Here is a 22,080-nt window from a genome sequence, read left to right as displayed (position 1 = left end):
GAGAAGCCTTTCTTCCAACCTGACTTAAAACTCACTGTATATTATACTCCATAGAAATAATAAATGTGATGAGCATTGGGTAAGATTCACTGAAATACACCCATGGATACTACTTTCTGTGTCTTCCATCAGTTACATAGGTTTTTTGTGGATGGATCTTGGGAAATTTAACTCACCATTTAAAATATTTAAAATATTATTTCTATGAGAAAACAAGTTCCATGATTCAAGAAATAAACATATGAAAGAACTTTTGGAATATGCCTCTGTTTATAAGAGGGGATTTCCTGCACAAGTGCTGACACCAGGGCCTGTCTTAGGCACAGCTGGGAGGCAGAGTTTGTCTTTGGTCTCCTTCCCATTCCCTGTGCTCCAGGGCTTGCCCTTCTGTAGCCGATCTGCTTTCTTCATCATTGCTTATACTAAACAAATAGGAAAGAAGTGGAAGCCAATAGTCTGGCATCTGATTTGGTTCTGCCATAACCAGCTGTGTGACCTCGGACAAGCTTTGTTCCTTTGATATCCTTGACTGTAAATCAAGGGGTCCAATGAGCTCCTTGTGGGTTGCCTTTCAGCTATAACATTTCTTAGCTATTCTGTGTCACTCTCCATGGGCCTCCTTGTCATCTTCCTAATAACCAAGACTCACAGAGGGGCTTTCTTTCATCCCAAGTATGGGTTCTGAAGTCTTAAAAGAGGAACTATAATGACTCCAAAGCCTTCAAGCACACAAAGGAATTCATTGCTAATGGGAGTTCAGGTATAGAGCTACTCCACTGGAGAGATCTTTAAGGAAGATGGGCCCCAGCCATTGCCCCTGAAATCCTATCAATTGGGAAACAGCACATTCTCCACCCTCTCACCAGCCAGCCTGGCATTATGAACCCAGCCACCCACGGCTAGATAGAGAATGTTTATGCAGGCTGGAATGATTGGGGTAACTGGAGCCTCTCAGAGTTCAGCTGGAGACAGTCATTCAATCGAAGATACTGCCCCTCAAAACTCAAATCCCTGAGAGGGCAAATTATTTCAGCTGCTTGAGCTGGTGCACTTTACAATGCAGTTGGTGCAGAGCCTCCTGCCCAGCGAGAGGCACGATCCCCTCTCCCCAAGGACATTGGTGACCCCCACAGAACCTTTTCTCCCTGACCTGCGTGCTGGCCAATCATGCTCTTCTGAAACTAGATATTGTGAGGCCAGACTAGTGCATAGCAAAGGAGGCCGCCCCAGCTCACTAATCCAAAGAAAGGATAGCTTTACACAGGGCACATAGTGTTCCACTCAGCCCATAATGCCCGCATGTGTCTGGGGGCGGCATTGCTCTTAAATACCCAAGACAAATCTAAGCCTGTTGAGCGGTACACCCACTCTTGTCAACTCCAAGCAAAATAAGTCATACAGTGTAGAATAACACAGGCCTCACAGCCCTGAGGCCTAGTGTTCAGTCCAGTTTCTTACTTAATAGGTAAACCTATTAAGTTTCTCACTTACTAGGCAAACTTGGACAAGTCATTTTAATTCTGTAGACCTTCTGGCTTTAGGTTGCTATCAATAGGACCAACACATTGCCACGGGGTCATGACGTCCCTCACTTTCATTATTTCTCTCCAAAAGAAGTTTAAAAGAGAAAAAAAACATCAGATACCTTTCATATGCCGGTATAATCATTCAATCCTTCTCCCACTAACCCAAGTGTTATTATCCTCATTTTACAGGTGAGGAAACAAGGTTTCAGAGAGATTTAGTAACTGCTATGAACTGAACTGTCTTCCCCTGCACTGCATATGTTGACTCCCTAACCCCTAGTGTGACTTATTTGGAGATAGGATCTTTAGGAGGTAATTAAGGTCAAATAAGGCTGTAAGGGTGGGGCCCTAATCCAGTAGGAATAGTAACCTTATAAGAAGAGGAAGTGAGTGCTCTCTCTCTCTCTCTTTCCCCACATGTGTACAGAAGGAAGGCCATGTGAGGATACAGTGAGAAGGCGACCATCTGCAAACCAAGAAAAGAGGCCTCACCAGAAACCAAACTGGCTGGCACCTTGATCTGGGACTTCTCCAGAACTGTGAGAAATAAATGTCTGTTGTTTAAGCCACCCAGTCTATGGTACTTTGTTATGGCAGTCCTAGACGATGAAGACAGAAATGAACTCCAAATCACATTGTAGGGCAGATAGAGGTAGATCCAACTGGAACCTATACTGGTTCTGTTATTTATGTTATTCCTGCTTCCTAAGCCAGTCCTTGTATCAAATCACTTCTATCATAATTACCTGGAAGTGCTCCTTAAAAATACATACTCCCAGACCACACCTCAGACCCTCTCAAAATCAAAATCTCTGTGGATGGGGTCTGGAAATTTGCATATTTTTCAGAGGTCGGGAGACCACTGTGTAGGGCCACACAGCCTCCCCACACTAAAACTCCAGCAGTTCCAATAGGGAAACCTTGAAACAAGCTCTTCACAATGAGGCAGTGCCTAGCATAGCACGTGCTCAAGAAATTTCTTTGATGGGTTCATGACTTTCATCTGGACCTACAGAGTGAACTTGAACCTCTGGTCTCTGGGCTTAGGAAGTGTGGAAATCATTTTTAATCTCCTGTTACTAAAGAAAGATGTCACTCCATACTTCAATTTGAAGAATGACAGTATAAATCATTTAACTAGCACTGAAAAATTACAACTTTCTGAAATGGTTATTTTTTAAATTGTCAATCAATTTGAAGTCTAAACTTTCTCTGATTTTAGTTCCAGGGTGGTACTGCCATTAACACTGAGAAAATGAACAAAAAGCAGACTTCACTGGTTTATAACTTCTATAATCATTCAATTTATTTTTATCACATTCTCCTTTAGTCAGGGTAAATAATAAGTCAGGCTGTGATTTATGTGATAATACACAATGTTTATGTACCTAAGACAAAAATCTCCAAGATTGGCAGGGCTGGGGGAGGGGGGGTGGGAAGGAAAGGTACAAAATGATGTATATGAAAAGTTACCATGTATTAATAAATGGAAAAAACTACACACACGTGTTTGTATTCAGGCACGTATAAATGTATGTATTTGCCTGAATAAGCATAAAATATCCTTGAAGGATTCACCAAAAAACCGGATAATATTGATTTCTCTAGGAAGAATAACTTAGAGGCTGGGGAGAAGAAGAGGAGAGAAACTTTAAAAAATGTTTTGTGTAGGTTTTTTTTCCTTATAATTTAGTATATTATTGAGGTAAAGTACTCAAGTCTTAAGTGAGCAGCTCAATGAATTTTTACATACACATTCACCCATGTAACCACCACTCTGATAAAAATGCAGAACATTCCCAGAACCCCAGAAGATTACACACTACTCTCACTCAGTCAAGTACCCAAACCCCAAAGATAACCTTCCTTTTAACCTAGATTGCAATAGATTTTTTTTCTGTTCTTTACTTTATATAAATGGATTCACACAGTGTGTAATTTTGCAAGTCTGGCTTCTTTCCCTGGATGTTACATCTATGAGATTCATCCCTGTTATTGCAAATGGCAGTTCTTTTCTATTACCGTGTGGTACTACATTGTATGAATGTACCACAGTTTGTGTACATACCTACTGTTGAAGGACATTGAGTTGTTTTCAGTTAGGGGATGTCATGAATAAAAGCGCAAGGAGTACTCTAGTGGTTTCCCAGAAGAAGTCTTTTGATGGAACTACAAGTAGTCACTTCTGAGAAATCGCTAGATTATAAGGTAAAGATATGTTTAGTTTTAGTAGATATTTCCCAGCGGTTTTTCCAAGTGTTTGTACCAATTTACACTCCCCTCATCTGTGTATGAGAGCTCCAGTTAGTTGCCCAACATCTTTGCTAACATTTGGTATTGTCAAAGGAAGACTTTTAGCAAGAATCTTTTCACTATATATCCTACTGTATCTTTTGATTTTAAATTGTATATATATATATTGCATATTCATAATCAAATACATAAAATATTATATGAAAATGTAACAAAAATGAAAATCACATGCTGGCATAAGTTATTTCATTTATCTTTCCTGAATATAGATGAATGGCTAGGAGACTCTCCCAGTATTGAGTACAGAAAGGGAACCAACATGACGATGTTTCCAAGGCATTTAAACATTTGTCAGTTGTCTTTAAAAAGAGCCATAAACTTCCAGAAAGAAGAGATAAAAGAAAGGACTAGTGCAAAGCTTACTAGCAAATCAAATATGCTATGGGAAAGCTTTACACAGAACTCACAATTAAGGGGTCCTAATAACAGAAAATGCTAGTGCATTGTATCCTCAGTAAGTGACATCTCTTCATATAGTTTGGTGAGCTTATTACTTCAGAGCCTCTTTTTCCTCATCCATAAAATGGGGAAGCATTGCTCCTTAATGTACTTATTCAATGTGTTGAACACCTTCTATATGCCTGGTAGACATTGGACACATAAAGTCAAATAAGACACATGCTTAGCTCTCAAGCATCTTGCAACTCTAGTTGGGGAGAAGAACAGCTAAATGAATAATTACAGTTGAGTGTGAGGAGTGCCATAATCTAGATGTACCCAAAGTGCCTTGGGAGCAATGAAAACACAGCTCACTCAGATATGTGGAGCTGAAAGATTGCCAGAGAAAAGTTGACTGAGCTGAGTTTTGAAAGATGAATGGGAATTAGTTAAATGGAAAAGGAGGAAAGGAATTCCAGGCCTACAGAACAGCACATGCAGAGGCATGGATTCATATAAAAGCAGATACCTTTAGTAAGTTCAGCTTTGCCATGTGATTGGAATAAACAGTGTGTTTGTAGGGAAAACGGAAAATAGGGAAGCCTACAGAGATAGGTTGGCAGGGAGGGATCGTTAGAGACCTTGCTTCCCAAGTCAAGAAATTTTAATTTTATTCAGAAACCTTTGGAAGTCCATAGACATATTTCAAACAGAGGAGTAATGTGATTTTAATAATGAAAAGATGAAAGGTTTTCTTATGCTGCTTCTTTGGATGGAACCAAAAAGAAAAACAAAGTAAGGAAGGGAGAAACCAAAAAAGGGGAGTCAATGGAAAGCAAGAAAAGTAAAGAAAGAAGAGAAGGAAGAGAAGAATAGGATCCTTTTAAAAAAAAAAAACTTGCTAAAATATAGGAGATTATTTTCATGATTTTGAAACAGACAAAGATTTTATCAAGAGTACACAAAAACATTAATTATACAATGTTGATAAACAATACTAAAATTAAAAACACCTTTTCATCAACAGACATCATTAAGGCATCCTATACAATGGTAATGGTACTTGCAATGCATGCATCTAATAAAGGACTCATGTTCAGAAAAACTCTTATAAATCAATAAGAAAATTACAGACAACCCAACAAAAAGATGTGTAGACAATTCACAAAATAAGCTATCCAAATAACAAAAGAGCATATGAAAAGGCTCTCAACTCTATTAGGCATCAGGGAAACACAAGATAAAACCATGTGAAATACTGCTATGCACCTACCAGAATGGCTGAAATGAAAAAGTTCATTTGCACAGTGTACTAAAACTGAATATACGTTCCCTCTGATTCATGAATTCTGCTCCTAGATATACATCCCAGAAGGTACTACAATGTTCATAACAACACTATTTGTAATAGCCAAACACTAGAAACTACCCAAGTACCCTCAATAGTTGAGATGAGGAATAAATTGTGATATACTCTTAAGCAAAGAGAATAAATTATTTATAAAAGCATGAAAAATATAGCTGAATCTCATAAACGTGATGGCGTGTAGAAGAAGCCAGACACAAAAGAGTACATTTTGTATAATTCCACTTATGTACAGTACAAAACCAGGCAAAATTATTCTATGGTCTTAGAAGTCAGGATAGAGTTTACTCTTAGGAAGGGTAACAGTTTAACTCAAGGAAAGCAGGCAGGATTTATATACAAAATACATTTAAATTCTGAGTCTGACAGAAGATGTTTTTAAGGTTTTATGCAGCATTCAAGTTGCTAGCTGGTAGTATTTGGGGAATTAATAAGATGAGCATTTAAAGAAGATTTAAGGTAGGAACAGGGCCCAAAAAATGGCAGGGAAATATAACTCCTCTTCTCAATTGCCACAGAATCTAAAATTTCCAGTAAGTGGCTCATTCCTTTGGGTTAAAACTTTCCTTTTCTGAACAGAGCAGAAGAAAAGTAGGAGTATGATACCCTGGTGTAATACAGACCTGTTTCCCTTATATATTTATATAAAGTTATCTGAGTGTGAGGGTTCAGCAGAGACCCGTGATTTACCTTCTGGGGGTGGAGGGTGCTGGGAGTCCCACTGAGTGGTCAGCCTTAAAAAAGAAGCAGAAGCCAACTGAGACATTAAAAACATCAAGATCCTTAAATGACCACTATTCTTGTGAACCTCACTGGTGATAGTAGCCACAGGAAGCCCTGGCTAATGGGAAAAACCACAAGAAGGCTTATGAGATAGTGCCCATAAAACCAAAATCTAAAAGCATCCCTCTCTGCCACCTACCAAGCTCTACATCACCAAGAAATCCCTTCCAGGAGGCACTGGTATGAACAGCAAACTGGAGGGTCACACAAGGGAAACTCATTACCTGAGATCTCTGACATTATTGCCATCCTGGTTGAATCATCTTCAACATCCAAGACAGGCTGCAGAGAGATGACAGTTTTTGAATGTGTAATTCCCTGTTGAGGGAGCCCAGCCATTCCTCATCGGGAAATGGGGTGATATTGAGGGTCAGAAACTCTGCACAAAGATTCCAGGCAGCAAGGGACCAACCACCCAACTTCCAGCGGAGAGGGAAACCTGGAAAGACTGAATCAAATCTGTCTTCTTCAAGCTCTTTTGACCATGACCACAAAAAGAGATATATTTTACATCAAAACCCAATGTGCTCATATACCAAATCTAAGTTGCCATGATTGCAAGATATACCATTGTTTTATCACTGACTGAGAAAGAAAAACTACCTATTATAATTATAAGATATCCTGATTTCAAAGATCTATAGTAAAAAAAAGTATGTCTTAGAGTGGATAAAATATGGAGTAAAATTTCAATCAATACTAACCTTTATTATGAATAATCCACTTTGATATTTAGTATTCTACGTTATTCTGCTGACTCTATTCTATTTAATATCATAGATTCCCCAAACACTGGCCATGACCCATTAAATTGACTGCATAATCTACTAGTGGGTTGCAACCCACAGTCCAAAAAACACTGGGTTAACAGATAAGGTATAAGACTTCTAGATAATTTCACTGAGAATCCAGAGTTTGACTAACTCTACTGGTAGGACAACTGAACCCAAGTGGTAATTACTGTGCAGTATATCAGTACATATCTGTGGGCTGAATTGCCTAGAAACCTAAGGCTTATCAGCCTGTATTATAGATATTGCTGATATTTAAGCCATTAGTGCTGTAAATGCGCTTTGCTATAATTATGCTATGAGACATATCAACCAGGGCATTTCTGAGAGCTGATTCCTGCATGCCTCCTGTATGTAGTAAGGTATGTATCCAAAATTAGAGTGACCAAGAGCCTCTACAAAAAGTGCAATAATCCTTTCATGCAACAACCCTGCCCAGGGCGTTAGGCAACTATTTATAAACCCGGTTTAAGAGGGAAAATACCCTGACTTTTGTTTTGCAAGTCTCTACAGATCCAAATAGCACAGCCAATCAGAATGCTACATTGGTGTGACAGTTTTCCTCACCTTTTGGAGCTGAATCTGTCATTCACTTGAGAGCCCAGGGAGAAATAAGATGTGTGGCTCTTTAGTTGCACATTCCTTGAGTACTTTGCTATGCATGAAGTGTCTCTCAAGGGAGATGTGAATTGAATCACACAGATCACTGAATGAGTTTATATTGGAATTACAAAGAAGTTGAACATTTTGTCACTTAACATACTGATGAGCTCTTTGATTTTGTGAGTTCCGTAGAATGAGGACTGGTCAAGAATTACCCACCAAAACATAGTAATGGAAAATTTGGGGTTTTCTAAAGACTTTCTTAGAAGTGGACTTTCTCCAGTGGCTCTATACACACTAATAAAACACAAATTGAGTTGTTGTAAGCAGAACAAAGTTTACTCGATGTTTTTTCAAGTTAGTGTGTGTTTTCAGAAATATTGCCTTAGGGAAATATATTCAGGCCCACTGCCACCCTCTGCTAGAAGCTGAGATCTTCCAAATGTTTGGAATTACAACAGTAAATGGTCAGGGCTGCTATATATTGCTGTACGGGTTGTTCACTGCACAAGGACACCCAGCCAGAAGGATGACTGGAGACTGAGATCCAGCCCACATTCCTCTTGCCCAATGTGCAGTGTAGTGTGGGGTGGGAAGCAGAGATGCCTTTTGAAGATTGAACCAAGGCATCATAAGGGTTAGTGAACAAGGGCCAATCTGAGTGGTGAGAGAGGGAATGAAATAGTCAATAGCTCTATAATAGTTCAGATAAATTGCAAATCACTCTTAATTCTTCCTACATATCAACTTAACCCATGGAATAAATTCATATTTTAATTCAGAAATCTGAGCCTTAACCTAACTTTACATGAAGTCATGATATATCTGAAATGCAGTTCTAAAGCCCTGCTAAAGCCTGTTGAATTCGTTCAGAGATTCCCCATGAAATTTGAAGATGAGAGCTAGGGGATAAGGGAGTAGATGGAGGGAGAAGGAGTGTCAGAATTGAGCACCTGCAATTCAAGTAATATTTTTCTCGTATCTTAAAGTATGCCCAAACTAGAATTATGGTCATTAAAATAGACTGTGCCTTGTAAGTCCTTCCATAATGCCCAAGTCTGACCTTAAGTCTAAAATGAAACAAAGACATTTCTTCCATCTGGAAGATTCATCTATCACAAAACCAGCAGATTGTTTACTTTGTTAATTAAACAACTGGAACACTGACATAAAAACCAAGAAGCAGAATTTAAGATTCAGCATAGGCATAACTTTGAATCCAGGCCATCTTCTTAGAAGCATCTAACTAGAAACTATACATTGCAACTCCCCAGCCAGCTCAATTCAGCTTCTAGCATGTTCTCCCACTGCTTTCCACGGGATCACACAGAGCAGTCCGGCTAGAACACCTGCTACTCAACCACCCACTCTGCACCTCACTCATGCTGCCCCTGCTCAGTGAAATACCTGCCCAGTAGTCATCTTTCAAGAGTCTGTGGATAAGCTTCCTTCTGCCTTCTCCTTGAAGCCTTCCCTTACTCCCTCAAATGGATCTAGATTCTCAATCCTTTCCATCCTGGGAACATACCTAGCTCTATCCCACTCCAGATTGTCATGCAGGCTCTTCAGTCTAACTCCACCCACATATCCCATGGCTGGCTCCTCCTCATCCTCCAAATTCCCCAGGTCGAGATTTCTCGAGAGGGGCCACCTCTGCCACTCTTTTCTCCTTCAGAGCTATTTCCATCATAATTCCTATCACGGCTTCTAATAATCGATTTATTCCATCGTTTACTTGTTACTTTTCAACCTCCACTACTAAATTTTAATCTCCAATGAAGACAGGCACCTCATCTGTTTAACTTTCATAGCAGTGTCTGGTACAGAGTAGGTAGAAACTCAATAAATATTTGTTGAATGAATAAATGAATGGATGAACAAACTAGCATTTAGTTTTTTGCTTCTGTTAGACAGGGAACCATATAGCTTATCATCCAAACCAGGACACTTTTGAGGATGAAATTGAATAACCATTGTTAATTATATTGAGATAAAACAGGCAACAGCCAGGACATATGATCACCATACACCACATCTGCTCCTAAATGTCCCATTTAACAAACAAGTTCACAAGATTCACAATATCTTTAGATGCCACATGCTGAACCATTTTCGTTTTGCTAAGATCAGACTCCTTCTCTTCAAGATCAAATCTTTGACTTGATATTTTTGTAGAACCATGTTGGTCACATCAGACTCCAAGAAGGTGGAGCATTCTTCCTTTAGCACAGCCTCAAGCATGTCTTCATTGATAACAACGGCCTCACTCAATGAACCCAAGGGAAAGGTCGTTTCATTTCAAGGGTAGCTAATGCCATCTTGGATAGCCAATCCAAGTTTATTTCAGGACAGGCAGCATTAGTGCCACATTTAACAGCATGCGCAGATACCTCTGCAATGATTCTACTCCAGCCCTGGAGGAGATGAAAGGCAGACAGAAAGCCATTGGTGGAAGAACAGCCTCTTGGATTGAAATTCTTCTACACTGTAACTGGAAATAACTGGAAGACTCTCAAAGAAGAGGGTTAGAGAGGGAATACCATAAAAGTCTGAGATAAATACTTATGGTCTGGGCTCCTAGGTCTGCTTTTTTTCAACTGTGTGACTTTGAAAAAGTTACATTTTGAGTCTCATCCCTTATCAATACATTATAATTCTGTAGAATATGTTATAATTCTGCTTAACCCTGCTACAAATGAGATGATCGATAAAGCACCTATCACAGTGACTGACACATAGTAAGTACTCGATAAATGTTGCATAAAAATAATAATCACTAGTCATTAATAAATGATGTCACTTTCATTAAAGAACTAGTATCTTAGTTCGGATTTTGTTTTGTTTTGTTTTGTTTTGTTTTGGGTTTTTTGTAGACAGGGTTTCACCTGTTGCCCAGGCTGGAGTGCAGTGGCACAATTACAGCTCACTGCAGCCTCGAACTCCTGAGCTTGAGTGATCCTCCCACCTCAGCCTCCCAAGTAGCTGGTATTACAGCCACACACCACCATATCTGGATAATTTTGTTGTTACTGTTGTAGAAACCAAGGTCTTACTATGTTGTCCAGGCTGGTCTCGAACTCCTGGCCTCAAGTAATCCCCCTGCCTCAGCCTCCCAAATTACTGATATTGCAGGCATGAGCCATCGCCCCTAGTTTATCTTAGTATAACATAGTGATCAAAAGCTCCAGAGCCCTGGGTTCAAATTCTACTGGTGACATTTAGGACCTGTGTGGCCTTGAGGAAGGTATTCAACTTCTATAGGCTACAGAATTCCCATCCATTAATTGAAGACAGTTATATCTACTTCACAGGATTGTTGTGAAGATTAAATGAGATCATGCATATAAAATGTTTGGCATAAGGCTTAGCACATAGTATTGTATAATGTTTTTGAAGTAGAATTTGCTAGAAGTGCAGGTATTAAAGTAGAAACAAACAGCAAGGAGTAGAATATTTTGAGAGGTTTGTTAACCAGTCACAAGAGCAGGCTATGCCAGATTGTGGTATCTGGTCCCAAGAAACATCAGGGAGGGGAAACGGCAAGGAAGAGGTTGGGATATATAACACTGTCCATTAAGCGTCCTAATTGGGAAGAAGAGAGTAATCAAAAAGTGCACACTCCCTAAATGTTTCTGCATATGGAAGGGAAGAGAGACTGGAGGACAGTAAAGGCATTCCAATCCAGTGGATTCAGTGACCTTTATTTTTCCTTTGGCCTGGCTCTTAAAATAACAGAAAATGGCAGATTCTCATAGGTATTATAGAAGTCATTTTTAAAATATATTTTAACATTTCTCTCATTTTTAATGTTGACATTGTTTTAGTTCATTTTGTGTTGTTCTAAAAGAAGACCTGAGATAGGGTAATTTATTTTTTAAAAAGAGGTTTATTTAGCCCACAGTTCTAGAAGCGGAGAAGTTCAAGATTTGGCAGCTGCATCTGGTGGCTTCTGATGAGGGCCTCATGCTGCCTCAAACATAGCAGAGAAATAGAAGGGGAACCAGGTGAATGGAAAAAAGGGCAAGACACATGTGGCAACCTCAATTTATAACAATGTGCTCTTGAGGGAAGTAATCCATTCCCAAGACAACTAACTCCATCTCCAGAGAAAGACATTAATGCATCTTAAAGACCTAATCACCTCTTTAAGGCACCACCTCCCAACACTGCCACATTGGGAACCAAGCCTCAGTATGGTTTTTGGTAGAAACAATCATATTCAAACCATAGCAACCAAGTTATATAACTCACTTTGGTCTAAAAAGTCCCAAAATTTCCCTCTGGTAGCCATATAAAACATACCCCCAACAGTCCTTGAAAGCTTTCCTAACCCCAGGTTATTAAATGTGGAGTGAAACTAGGAATGTCTTTGTCTTACAAAAGTTGTGTGACTGTTTTTAAAAGAATAGGTAAACTGCTAATTACCTTCCTTGGACATCTGACTCATTCCATTCCCTGAAATTTCAGACATGGAAAAACTCATTTGGAAATTCCAATTTTAATGATTCTCTAATTTACAGAGAGACTCTATTCCCTTCATCTTAGCACTGGACAATTGTATATATGCATATACTTTGTAATAAGGTCTTAGAACTCTAGAACTGCTGCATATGGGGGCATTCAATAAAATGGGACAAATGTCACACACACAAGTGCAGACACACATACACAATAATATTTAAGTTTGGGTCTGAAAGACAAAAAAAATTTCCATTTGCTTGTGACAAAAAACATATCTTCAGCTAACTAGAGACCCTCTTGTATGCTTAGAAATGAAGATACTAATTGATGAGAGAGGGGCTTTTCAAAATCAAATGTCTCCAATCTCTAAAGAAACTGAAAAGACCACATTTCAGTGTTAAGCAAATAACCTGAAAGACTCCCTTAAAATCTAAACAAACACCATTAAATGGAGAAAAATAAGTGCTTTTATAATAACTCTAGGGTATGCCTGTCTGGTCACCATTATGAATACCTAGACACTCCATTTAAGAACCTGCTTTCGGAAATCCTAAATGGAGTGCAAACAAGGAATTTGTCAAACTTCAATTTAAGTTTACCTTATTTAAAAGTGATTATAATTTCTTTAAGTTTTTTTCCTTTCAAATGAAATTGTTTAATCTCTGACAACTGCATTCCTTAGTTTACAAGTGAATAATCTCAGACTAAGAAGATATCCCGGGGTAGGGTTGCCAGATTGAGCAAATAAAAATACATATTCAAACATTGCATGAGACATATGCATACAAAACAATTATTGATTGTTTATCTAAAATTCAAATTTTTGCTGGGCATCCTGTGTTTTATCTGGACCTACCCCTAGGTCCTCTACCTAATGAATGGGAAAGCTGATGATAGAACCCGGTGCCCTGACTGACAGCCCGGAAAACTACTAGCAATGAATAGGTTCCTCTTTCTGATGCAAATACATTCACAATTATCCCTTGAAAATTAGATGCTGTGGAAAACCAAATGCTATGTAAGGTGATCCCACCCCTCAGGAAGCCTAGAGTCTAATGGCAATTTCTAGTGAATCTGGAAGAGAAGAGAGACTGTCTGTAACCATCTCAGCAAACTGCTAACCAAGAAAATGGTTCTCACTCCTGGTCACATATTAAAATCACTTTGGGAGCTTTAAAAATAATCAGTGGCTCACACCTATAATCTCATCACTTTGGGAGGCCTAGGCAGGTGGATCACTTGAGGTCAGGAATTCCAGACCAGCCTGGCTAACATGGTGAAACCCCATCTCTACTAAAAATACAAAAAAATCAGCCACACATGGTGGCATGCACCTGTAATCCCAGCTACTCGGGAGGCTGAGGCAAGAGAATCACTTGAACCCAGGAGGTGGAGGTTGCAGTGAGTGGAGATCACACCCCTGCACTCCAGCCTGGATGACAGAGTGAGACTCTGTCTCAGAAAAAAAAAAAAAAATTATCAGTGCCCTGAAATCCTGAGATTCTGATTGAATTGGTCTGGGATAGGGTCTGGGAAAATGGTCTTTTTTTTTTTTTTTTGCCAAAATATTCCCAGATTATTCTAGTGTGCAGCCTGGTTAGCATAATGAACCAGTGGTCTCAGACTCAGAATCTCCCCCATGAAATCTGGATTCACAAATGGCTGGGTCTGTGCTAAAGTAGGCTGTGTGTGTGTGTGTGTGTGTTTTCCCAAAGCCCCATACTTCCTGTATCCCATGGAGGTGTTCCAGTTGGCCACTTGGTCTTTCCAGTAAGACTCATTGAAGGGACAGCATTTTGCTGGAATTCACTTTACCCCCATTCTGCCCTTGGTTCCTAGTCATTTCTTAGCCAATGCATTTTGTAGCCTGAGTCTTGAAAAATTCATTGTAAGTATACAGATCACAATAGACAATAGAGAAGAGATCATTCCATCTAACCCTGCAGTCTGCTCAGGATACCCCAGTTACCTGGGGTCAGACATGCGGCCTCTGGTCCAGAGTCAAATGTGTGGGTTCAGTGTTGTCTGAATATCTTCCCACTGGTAGAACCCACTAAATAAAAGCCCCTTTCAGTCTTACAACTTCCCATGAAGAGATAAATAAAGATGTGCTCTGGGTATTTTTATTATTGTCATTATATTTGTTGTCCTGGTCAGAGAGGGGTCAAAAAGCCACAACATTTTCCTCTGCCCAGCTATTATTGTCTTCCAAAAGACACAGTAGCACATGCTCAAGAACAGGATTTCTCAACACAATCTAAGAAGACAAGATAAAGAAGCTAAGTCTCCTCTGTCCTGGCCTATGGCCCTCAGCTTCTCATTTCTGACATCATTTATGAGGAAGGCAAGTTCATTGTTTCGTTTTGCTGCATCTGTTCTCAAATTATGCCATCTTTCAACAACAGCCTAATTTAACATTTTTAAATCATTCCGACCACCATATGCCATCCAAAGTCCAAAGTAAATGGTATCTAACCTCCAGCTCTGAAGACATACGTGGCTGTGGCCAAGCCTACTTTCAAAGACTCACTGTTGTATACTATCACGTGCTTAGGCCATTTTTACATCATTGTTAATCCTTTCATTCCAGAATCCATCTGGGATCAATTCATGATAAGAACACCGTTCTCTTTTGGGACACTCATCCAAGACTGGTTTTCCTAGCTTAAGACTCAAGAGATTCCACTTCTCCAAAAGTGTTAAGTTGAAAAATCCAGTACAAATAAACAAGATCAAACAGGGCCAATTGTATCTACCTAGAAATAATGAGAGGGCACTTTTTAAAAAATACATAAAAGCACTAAATGAGTGCTCAATACCACTAATACCTGGAAACCTTAGGCTCAAGACAAGTCAAACAAATTCCAAATGCATCTAATCCATGTTAAATATTTCCTGTCTCAGTGACCAACAGGCCATGTTAAAACCAGTCCAACTCCTTTTGAAGGTCTCGTTCTTTTCCCCCACATGAAGGGTAATGTAAGGATTCTGATCAGTGATGCAAGATTGCTAATTCTAATTGGGTAATTTTTCCCCATTAGTCAGAGATCAGCCTTGCCAACTTGGAGGCCTCACATGCTTTGCTGCCATTGGGAGCTAGCTGTCAAACTCCAGAGCTAATGGAAATATATTCTAAAAGCCAAATTCCACCCTTCACTTGCATGGTGACAGTTCCTAACCAGGTGAGAGAGCTTCGACCCCATCCCAAAGTCTGAGACCTTCAGTCTTTCTTTGTCATCACCTTCTTCTCATGTCATTGTCAACAAATCCCCTTTGACAACCCTCTCTCTTTTCCCTTGGAAAATGCCCAAATTCTCCCAAGAGAGGAAGCACTATCTTTCTAAATCTTAATTTAATTGGAAAAGAGAGAGCTGAGATTTTTAAATTCAGGGCAGAGGCAGACTCATTCATTACCACTTCAAGGTCCAGGATTTGGGCTGATGAGCAAATAGATCAATCATATTGGGAGGTGTTCTGTACCTTCCTCTGTTATAACTCTAATTCCCACAGTCAAAAATATACATTCAGGAATAAACAGGCTGGTTCTCTCCAGTGTCTTCTCAACTGATAGTTCGTAACTGGTATGATAGTTAAATTCACGTGGAGAAGGATGCAGATTCATTTGCCAGACACAACCAAGACAGGGCCAACACCAGCAGGGGCTTCTAGAACTAGAATGAAGTTTCCCTGCTTCAGATCAGAAGAAACTCAATTGGAGGCCCAGTCATGTGTCTTATACAAGTGCCTAACAACATACATAAAATCCCAGAGAGCTGTGTATCTAAGTGAGCCAACACTAGTTCACAAGCAGCAATGCAAAACCCCTTTCTTCCTCTGCCCCGTGGCAAAAAGTAGGTCTGTTCCATTTGTTTACAACCATTGCTGTTACTTTCCAGCATAACCATAATCTTATTTTGTAAATCCTATTCCTGACACACCTCAAACCATCTGCCCATTCTTTCTTGGGTTAGCTTGGGGCTGTTTGGCAAATGTCTGTCATTACCTGTAAGTGGAATATTTTTTAACAGAGTACATGCCCCTTGTAAAGGCATGTTGCCATGGCTGCTAGGTGCTCTGAAAAATCTCCTTTGGTTTTTTTCTTGAAATCCAATATGGCTTTAGTAATTTTTAATATGTGTAGAATTAAGAAGAGACAAAGAGGCATAAATACAACCCATTAGGCTTCAGATTCAAAATAAGTTTGTACACGCTCTCAGTCAAATACAAGGAATTGGCTAAAATTTTATTAATAAAAGTATATTTGTCAGTTTGAAGGAAGAGAAGACTTAGCCTATGTTTCAGATTCAGACTTGCAAACAGTTTTGAGGGGAACAAGTGATATAGTCTGAGCCGTAGAACTTCCACCATTTCTTGTCCCCATGGAGTGGGACCAGGGTTCTCAGCAAGTCACTACAATCTGTCTTTGCTTCATTATTTTGACATCTTCTCCTTATTTAAACTACAAGGTGCTGAGAAAGACCCAGAACCCCAAACTGGATGAAGGATATGTGATAGGCAATTCACGGAGCACAGATACAAATGGACAAAAGTGAGAAAAAATATCTCACCTTATTAGTAATCAAGAAAATAATAGAATAAAATAACAAGGTCACTGTTAGCCTCTAAAACGGCAAAGATTAAAAACAATGAAAATATGTAGTGAGGGTGTGGGGAAATGTTCACTCTTAAGCACTGCTGAAGAAAGCAGAAATTCATACAACTCTCCTGGAGTCACTTTGGTAGTATCTAGCAAAATTTTTCTAGTACCTACCTTTGGCTACACTTCATGTATATACACACACACACACACACACACACAGACACACACACAGACACACTCATGTGAATTTAAAAATTATTTATAGTGGCATTACTTGTAAAAGCCAAAAATTAGAATTAGCCTATCAAAAGAGAAATGGTTACATAAACTCTGGTTTACCTACCCAATGGACTAGTTTATCTACCCAATACACTGCCATTAAAAAGAATGAGACAGTTCAACATCTTCCGATATGAAAAGACTGATATATTGACAATTAAGACAGCAACTTACAGAATATTAATATGTTCCAACTTATGGAAAAACAATGATTTACCTAGGTCTATAACAAAATGTGAAAAGGAGACTCTTTTTCAGCTTTGTCTAAGGCCCCAGAAGACCCAGAACAAAGCAAGAGGCAATTAGTGGTCTCACATTTTAAAATGAGTTTCTAGACCACCTAGACAGGACTTGCAAAGGAGACAACTGCAACCATTAGCCCATCACTCGCCTCAAGGCTATAAAAGGACTGAAACTGAAAATGCTGAAAGAATTCCTTTGGAATGATTTTTCAGGGTGTGGTGGTGTTTCCACCTTTACCTCTTTCTAAGTAAGAGAGGTTTCAAGGAGATCTCCCTGAATGCTGGAGTCTGCCAAGTGTAGACTGGCACTTGATTCAAGACCAAAGATCGTCTACTAGCAAGAGGCTGCAAATTGCGTGCGGAGGCCCAGGCACTGAGAGAGCTGCAGTGCAGCAGACAGGCCCAGGTACTGAGAGAGCTGCAGTGCAGCAGACTGCACATCTCCCAGCAGCAGGAGCCAGAGTGCATCAGTCTTGCCCTTAGGCCATATGCAAGGGAGCCAGCCAGGATGGTCTTGAAAAGGGCCCCACCTGTAGAGAGGTTGACAACACTCCACCCATAACCTTCCTATCTCTTGATCACATTCACACACACACACCTACTGGGTGGAGGGCAAGCTTTTACTCTCCCCAGCCAGCACCTGCATCTGTCAGCGGCTGCCCACAAGCCGCGGGAACCCACTAGATGCACCAAGAGCCAGAGTGCCTGGGGTGATGGGTGGGACTTGAAGGGACTGGAAGAGTTGTTATTCTACATGATTGTCCAAGAGTGTGAGAATGAATCTGCATATTATAGTTATAGAGACAGCAAGGGGAAACTGTTTTCTACCTGTACTGTATGGAATCTCATGCTTTCAATATGATGTTAACAATTACACAGGTAAAACAGAGAAAAGGTCTGGAAATTTACACACAAACCAATTATGATCTCTAGAAAGCAGAGTGTGGTTAGAGGATGAATAAAAAAAACTTATGTATTTTACTCTATACACTTCTTTATAGCTTGATTTTTTAAAAAAACAAACATATGTACTTATCTCTTTTGTAAACAAAAACTTAAAATACACACACACATACACACATATACTCACTGTATAAAAATTCAGAAAAGTAAGAAAAAGAAAACAAACAGACCATAAATGTAATTCCACTCCTCCCAGATCTCACCTCTGTTAGTATTTGATGAGTTTTTATTCACATCTTTTTTATGTAATTTGCTTGGAGCAGACAGGGCCTCATTGGGCATCACCAACAGTCAAGTTAAACAAGCAAGAACTTCAAGGATTGTTTACTGCTGCCACTCATATATTCCATGGGTATTTTGACCATATGAAAATCTGGGTATAGGAACAAAGAAAACCAATTTGATACTTATGAGTCTGTCTCCCTTAGCTCCCTTAGCTTAAAATGTTCATAATTAAGATGGAGGTAAAAATTATCACTGTGACATTTTATGCACTGGCTCTAGACAGTAGCAAGGTAGAGGACTAGAAGATTAAGATTTACTGATCCCCTTATGAAATCACAAATGGGTACTTTAGTCAAACTTAACAATACTTACCAAGTCTGTCCAGAAAGCTCATTTGAGCCTCAAACAAACAACCTAAATGGAAATTCAAGAGAAGACTTTATCTCCTGTCTGAGATTTACACAAAAATCAAATCTGTTACAGACTCATCTAAAAAACACAGATAACCGACTTGAGACCTTTAGCAAATGGAGTGGCTGCTATACACGTGGAAATTACCTCCTTCTTTGTTTTCAATTTCCTGGGAACCAGGGAGAAGTTCCGGTTTCTAAACCTTGAGGCAACATGAACAATGAACAATTGTTAGCTAGAAATAGCAGATGAAGCCTATTACTACACGACGGAAAGTAGACTGCACTGTCTTAAGGTTGTGTTTATTATACAGGCCTGGTGGGTAAAATGATACGGTAGAGAGTGAGTGTCCTGCTCAGTAGAAACCTCTGAGAAACCCTCCACTCCAAGGGAAGCATCCAACTTCTTTCTGTTTTTCCTCTTGTTGAGTATAGGCTTGGATAATTACATGTAATTTCCCAAGTCTGTCTTCATGAATGAAACTTCTTACCAATTTCTACCAAAACCCTCTACCAAATCAAATAAAGATAAGGTCAACAGAAAGCCAATACCATGCAAATGGTCAACAGAAAGCCAATACCATGCAAATACGCAGTAAAGGTCTTCATTTTTTTTTTTTTTCATTTGAGTGGCAAACCAAAAATCTTGAAAAGTTAACAATTCCATGATCCAGCAAAACAGCAACAGAACACAAAAGCTTTCCCTTGGGTTAGAATATGAAAACTTTTTTCAAGAGTAAATTCAATTGAGCTGAAATTGTAAAACCTGCAATGGCAAAGTGTATTTTTTAACCAAATTTGTTGGAAGCCAGTCATACACAGAAAATAAACCCAAACTCAAACTAGTACTGAAGTCCAGTTTCCTTTTAGCATTTTTTTAAAAAGAAGAAAGAAAAATAAACTTCCTAGACTTGAAAATGCAGCCTTTAGAACAAGGTTCCAAGAGTTACTCGGATGTTGGCTGATGCTTACAAACCAATGCTAACAAGTGGAGTGTAAATGAATCAAAACCAGATAGATTCCATTTCCCTTCAAGTAAATGGAGGTTGGAGACGGGGAGGTGGTGGGAATGCTTCCCAAAATGTGAATTTTACCAAAACCACAGTGTTCTGTATAAAAACTAGAGAAATATCATCTGAGCTTCAACTAGGGCTGGGTTTCAAAGAGGTGACATGAAGAGGGAGAAATGACACCCAGGAGCACCCTTCTGTGCCAGGCCATGAGCTTCAGGAACACTGGTTTCACCCCCACAATAAACGGCACGGCTGGCAGGTGTTCTCCCCCGACTTCAGAGATGAGAAAATGAAACGGGTGTACTCGCGTCCCCTTCTCTAGGTCATTCAGCCAGGAAGTGATCCTGAAGGCCGTCTGCATTAGGAAACAGTGCTCTCTCACCTCCTGTGCTCTTGTTCCATGAGAATCATTGATTACTTCAGCAAGTATGATGTAATGATGCTTTAATGAGGCCATTTTGGAGCATTCTACCAATGCAATGCTAATCTTGTCAAGGCCAACACCTGTGCTGACTTAGATAGTGCCTATGGGAGAACTAGGTAAGGAGAGGTAGAGAGTCATATTTTTTGTTTTTGTTTTTGTTTTTGTTTTTGTTTTTGTTTTTGTTTTGTTTTAGAGACAGAGGTCTTGCTTTGTTACCCTGGCTGGAGTGCAGTGGCACAATCATAGCTCACTGCAGCCTCAAACTCCTGAGCTCAAGTGATTCTCCCACCTCAGCCTCCCAAGTAGCTGGGATTACAGGTACACACCATAATGCCTGATTAATTTTTACATTTTTTTTTGTACAGACAGGGTCTCGCTATGTTGCCCAGGATGGTCTCAAACTCCTGGCTTCAGACAATCCTTCTGTCTCAGTCTCCCAAAGTGCTGGGTTTACAGGCATGAGCCACTGCGCCCAGCAAGAGTCTTATCTTGATTTAACTTAGGATCACCGTGAATTTATGTCATAAATCCAAGTTACTCAACTGTGGGGCAGGCCTGTGCTTCACCTGCATTACCTAACTCCTTTAATCCTCAAAATGACTATGGGCTTTATAGCATTTTTATCCCTATTTTATGCCTAAGAAAACAGGCTTGGAAAGGCTAAGGAAGAGGCAGAGCCAGGATTCTCACCCAGCCTGCCTGACCCCTCCGAGTCCAGATCATGTGCTCTTACCCCCTTCACAAAACTAAAAGGTTAATAATTCTAGAAATTATGCAGCAGTGGCTTTTCAAGGTATGTGGTTATCACTGATAGCAGCTTCCTACACATGTATTCATTTATCCAACAGGTATTGATTAAGTGATTACAATATATAAGACTGGGGGGTTATAAAGAGATCAAAAAATGTTCAAGTTCTTGTCCTTAGTCTCAAGCCATGTACAGCCCAGACTTACTCAGTTCTGGATTTTCCCCTGGTCTTCTGGCTACTGTCCTTTATCTTTTCAACTCACTTGTTATTACAGCAGTTTATTTCTTTTGGACATGTCCAAATTTCTGGTTTAGATAAGTCTGTCCCTGAGACAAGTGAACTTCATCAAGAGATAAATGAATGGAGAGACAGCTTTAAACCAAGGGCCTCTGGCATTCATAGAGTATCAGAACTTGAAGGGATCTGACAGATGGAGCCTGTATTGGTCAGAGTAGTCTACCTGCTATAACAAACAAGCCCAAACGTTTACTTCTTGCTCTCACAAAATTCAAGGGGTACGTTTCTGGTTGGGCCTCTGTCACACCTGTGGTGATACGTGGGGATCCAGGTCCTCCCCTGCTGTGGCTCCCCCATCTCAACAAAGGGTTTCAGGATGCCCCAGACTTCATCCACACAGCAGACAGAAGGCAGAGAGAAACGTCAGAGCAGGCATACTTACTTCTAACTGACTCCTCCCATTCCATCGGCAAGAGCTAGTCACAGTGCCACCTTCACGCCAGGGCCTGGGAGGTCTGTATGCAGGTTACCGGGAAGAATAAGTCAGTTTAGTGAGCATTCGGCCCATAAAACCACCGTGCAGGTGAGGAAACTGCTGCAAAGTATCTACTGCTACAAAGTGCCTACGCGAATCAACCAGTGTCACATAGAAGCAGATTCCATATTCCACTGCAGCACTCTTTGCCTACAACATTGATGCTTCCTAAAAAGACGTGT

The 22,080-nt window shown here is 39.9% G+C and overlaps 1 long non-coding RNA gene across 1 annotated transcript in view, besides 1 other annotated feature; it reads right to left on the bottom strand.

Moving 5' to 3' along the window:
- Positions 1-21,868, bottom strand: part of LINC02107 (long intergenic non-protein coding RNA 2107) — a 158,236-nt gene extending 136,368 nt beyond the window's left edge. Inside the window, exons 1-2 of the long non-coding RNA NR_147009.1 lie at positions 21,806-21,868; positions 18,509-18,678 (exon numbers count right to left, since the gene is read on the bottom strand). This is a non-coding gene — a long non-coding RNA (long intergenic non-protein coding RNA 2107). The remainder of the gene's footprint in view (positions 1-18,508; positions 18,679-21,805) is intronic.
- Positions 7,594-8,095: an enhancer, noted in NCBI's record as "NANOG hESC enhancer chr5:38039572-38040073 (GRCh37/hg19 assembly coordinates)". NCBI's record gives its function as "activates a minimal SCP1, AML or CMV promoter by ChIP-STARR-seq in primed H9 embryonic stem cells {active_cell/tissue: H9 hESC(primed)}" and the evidence as "EXISTENCE:reporter gene assay evidence [ECO:0000049][PMID:30033119]".
- Positions 21,869-22,080: the final 212 nt, after the last annotated feature.

The sequence above is a fragment of the Homo sapiens genome, chromosome 5 (assembly GCF_000001405.40).
Source record: "Homo sapiens chromosome 5, GRCh38.p14 Primary Assembly".
Taxonomy (NCBI): Eukaryota; Metazoa; Chordata; class Mammalia; order Primates; family Hominidae; genus Homo; species Homo sapiens.
The sequence above is the reverse complement of the archived record's forward strand: the minus strand, read 5'-3'. Positions and strand labels throughout refer to the sequence as shown.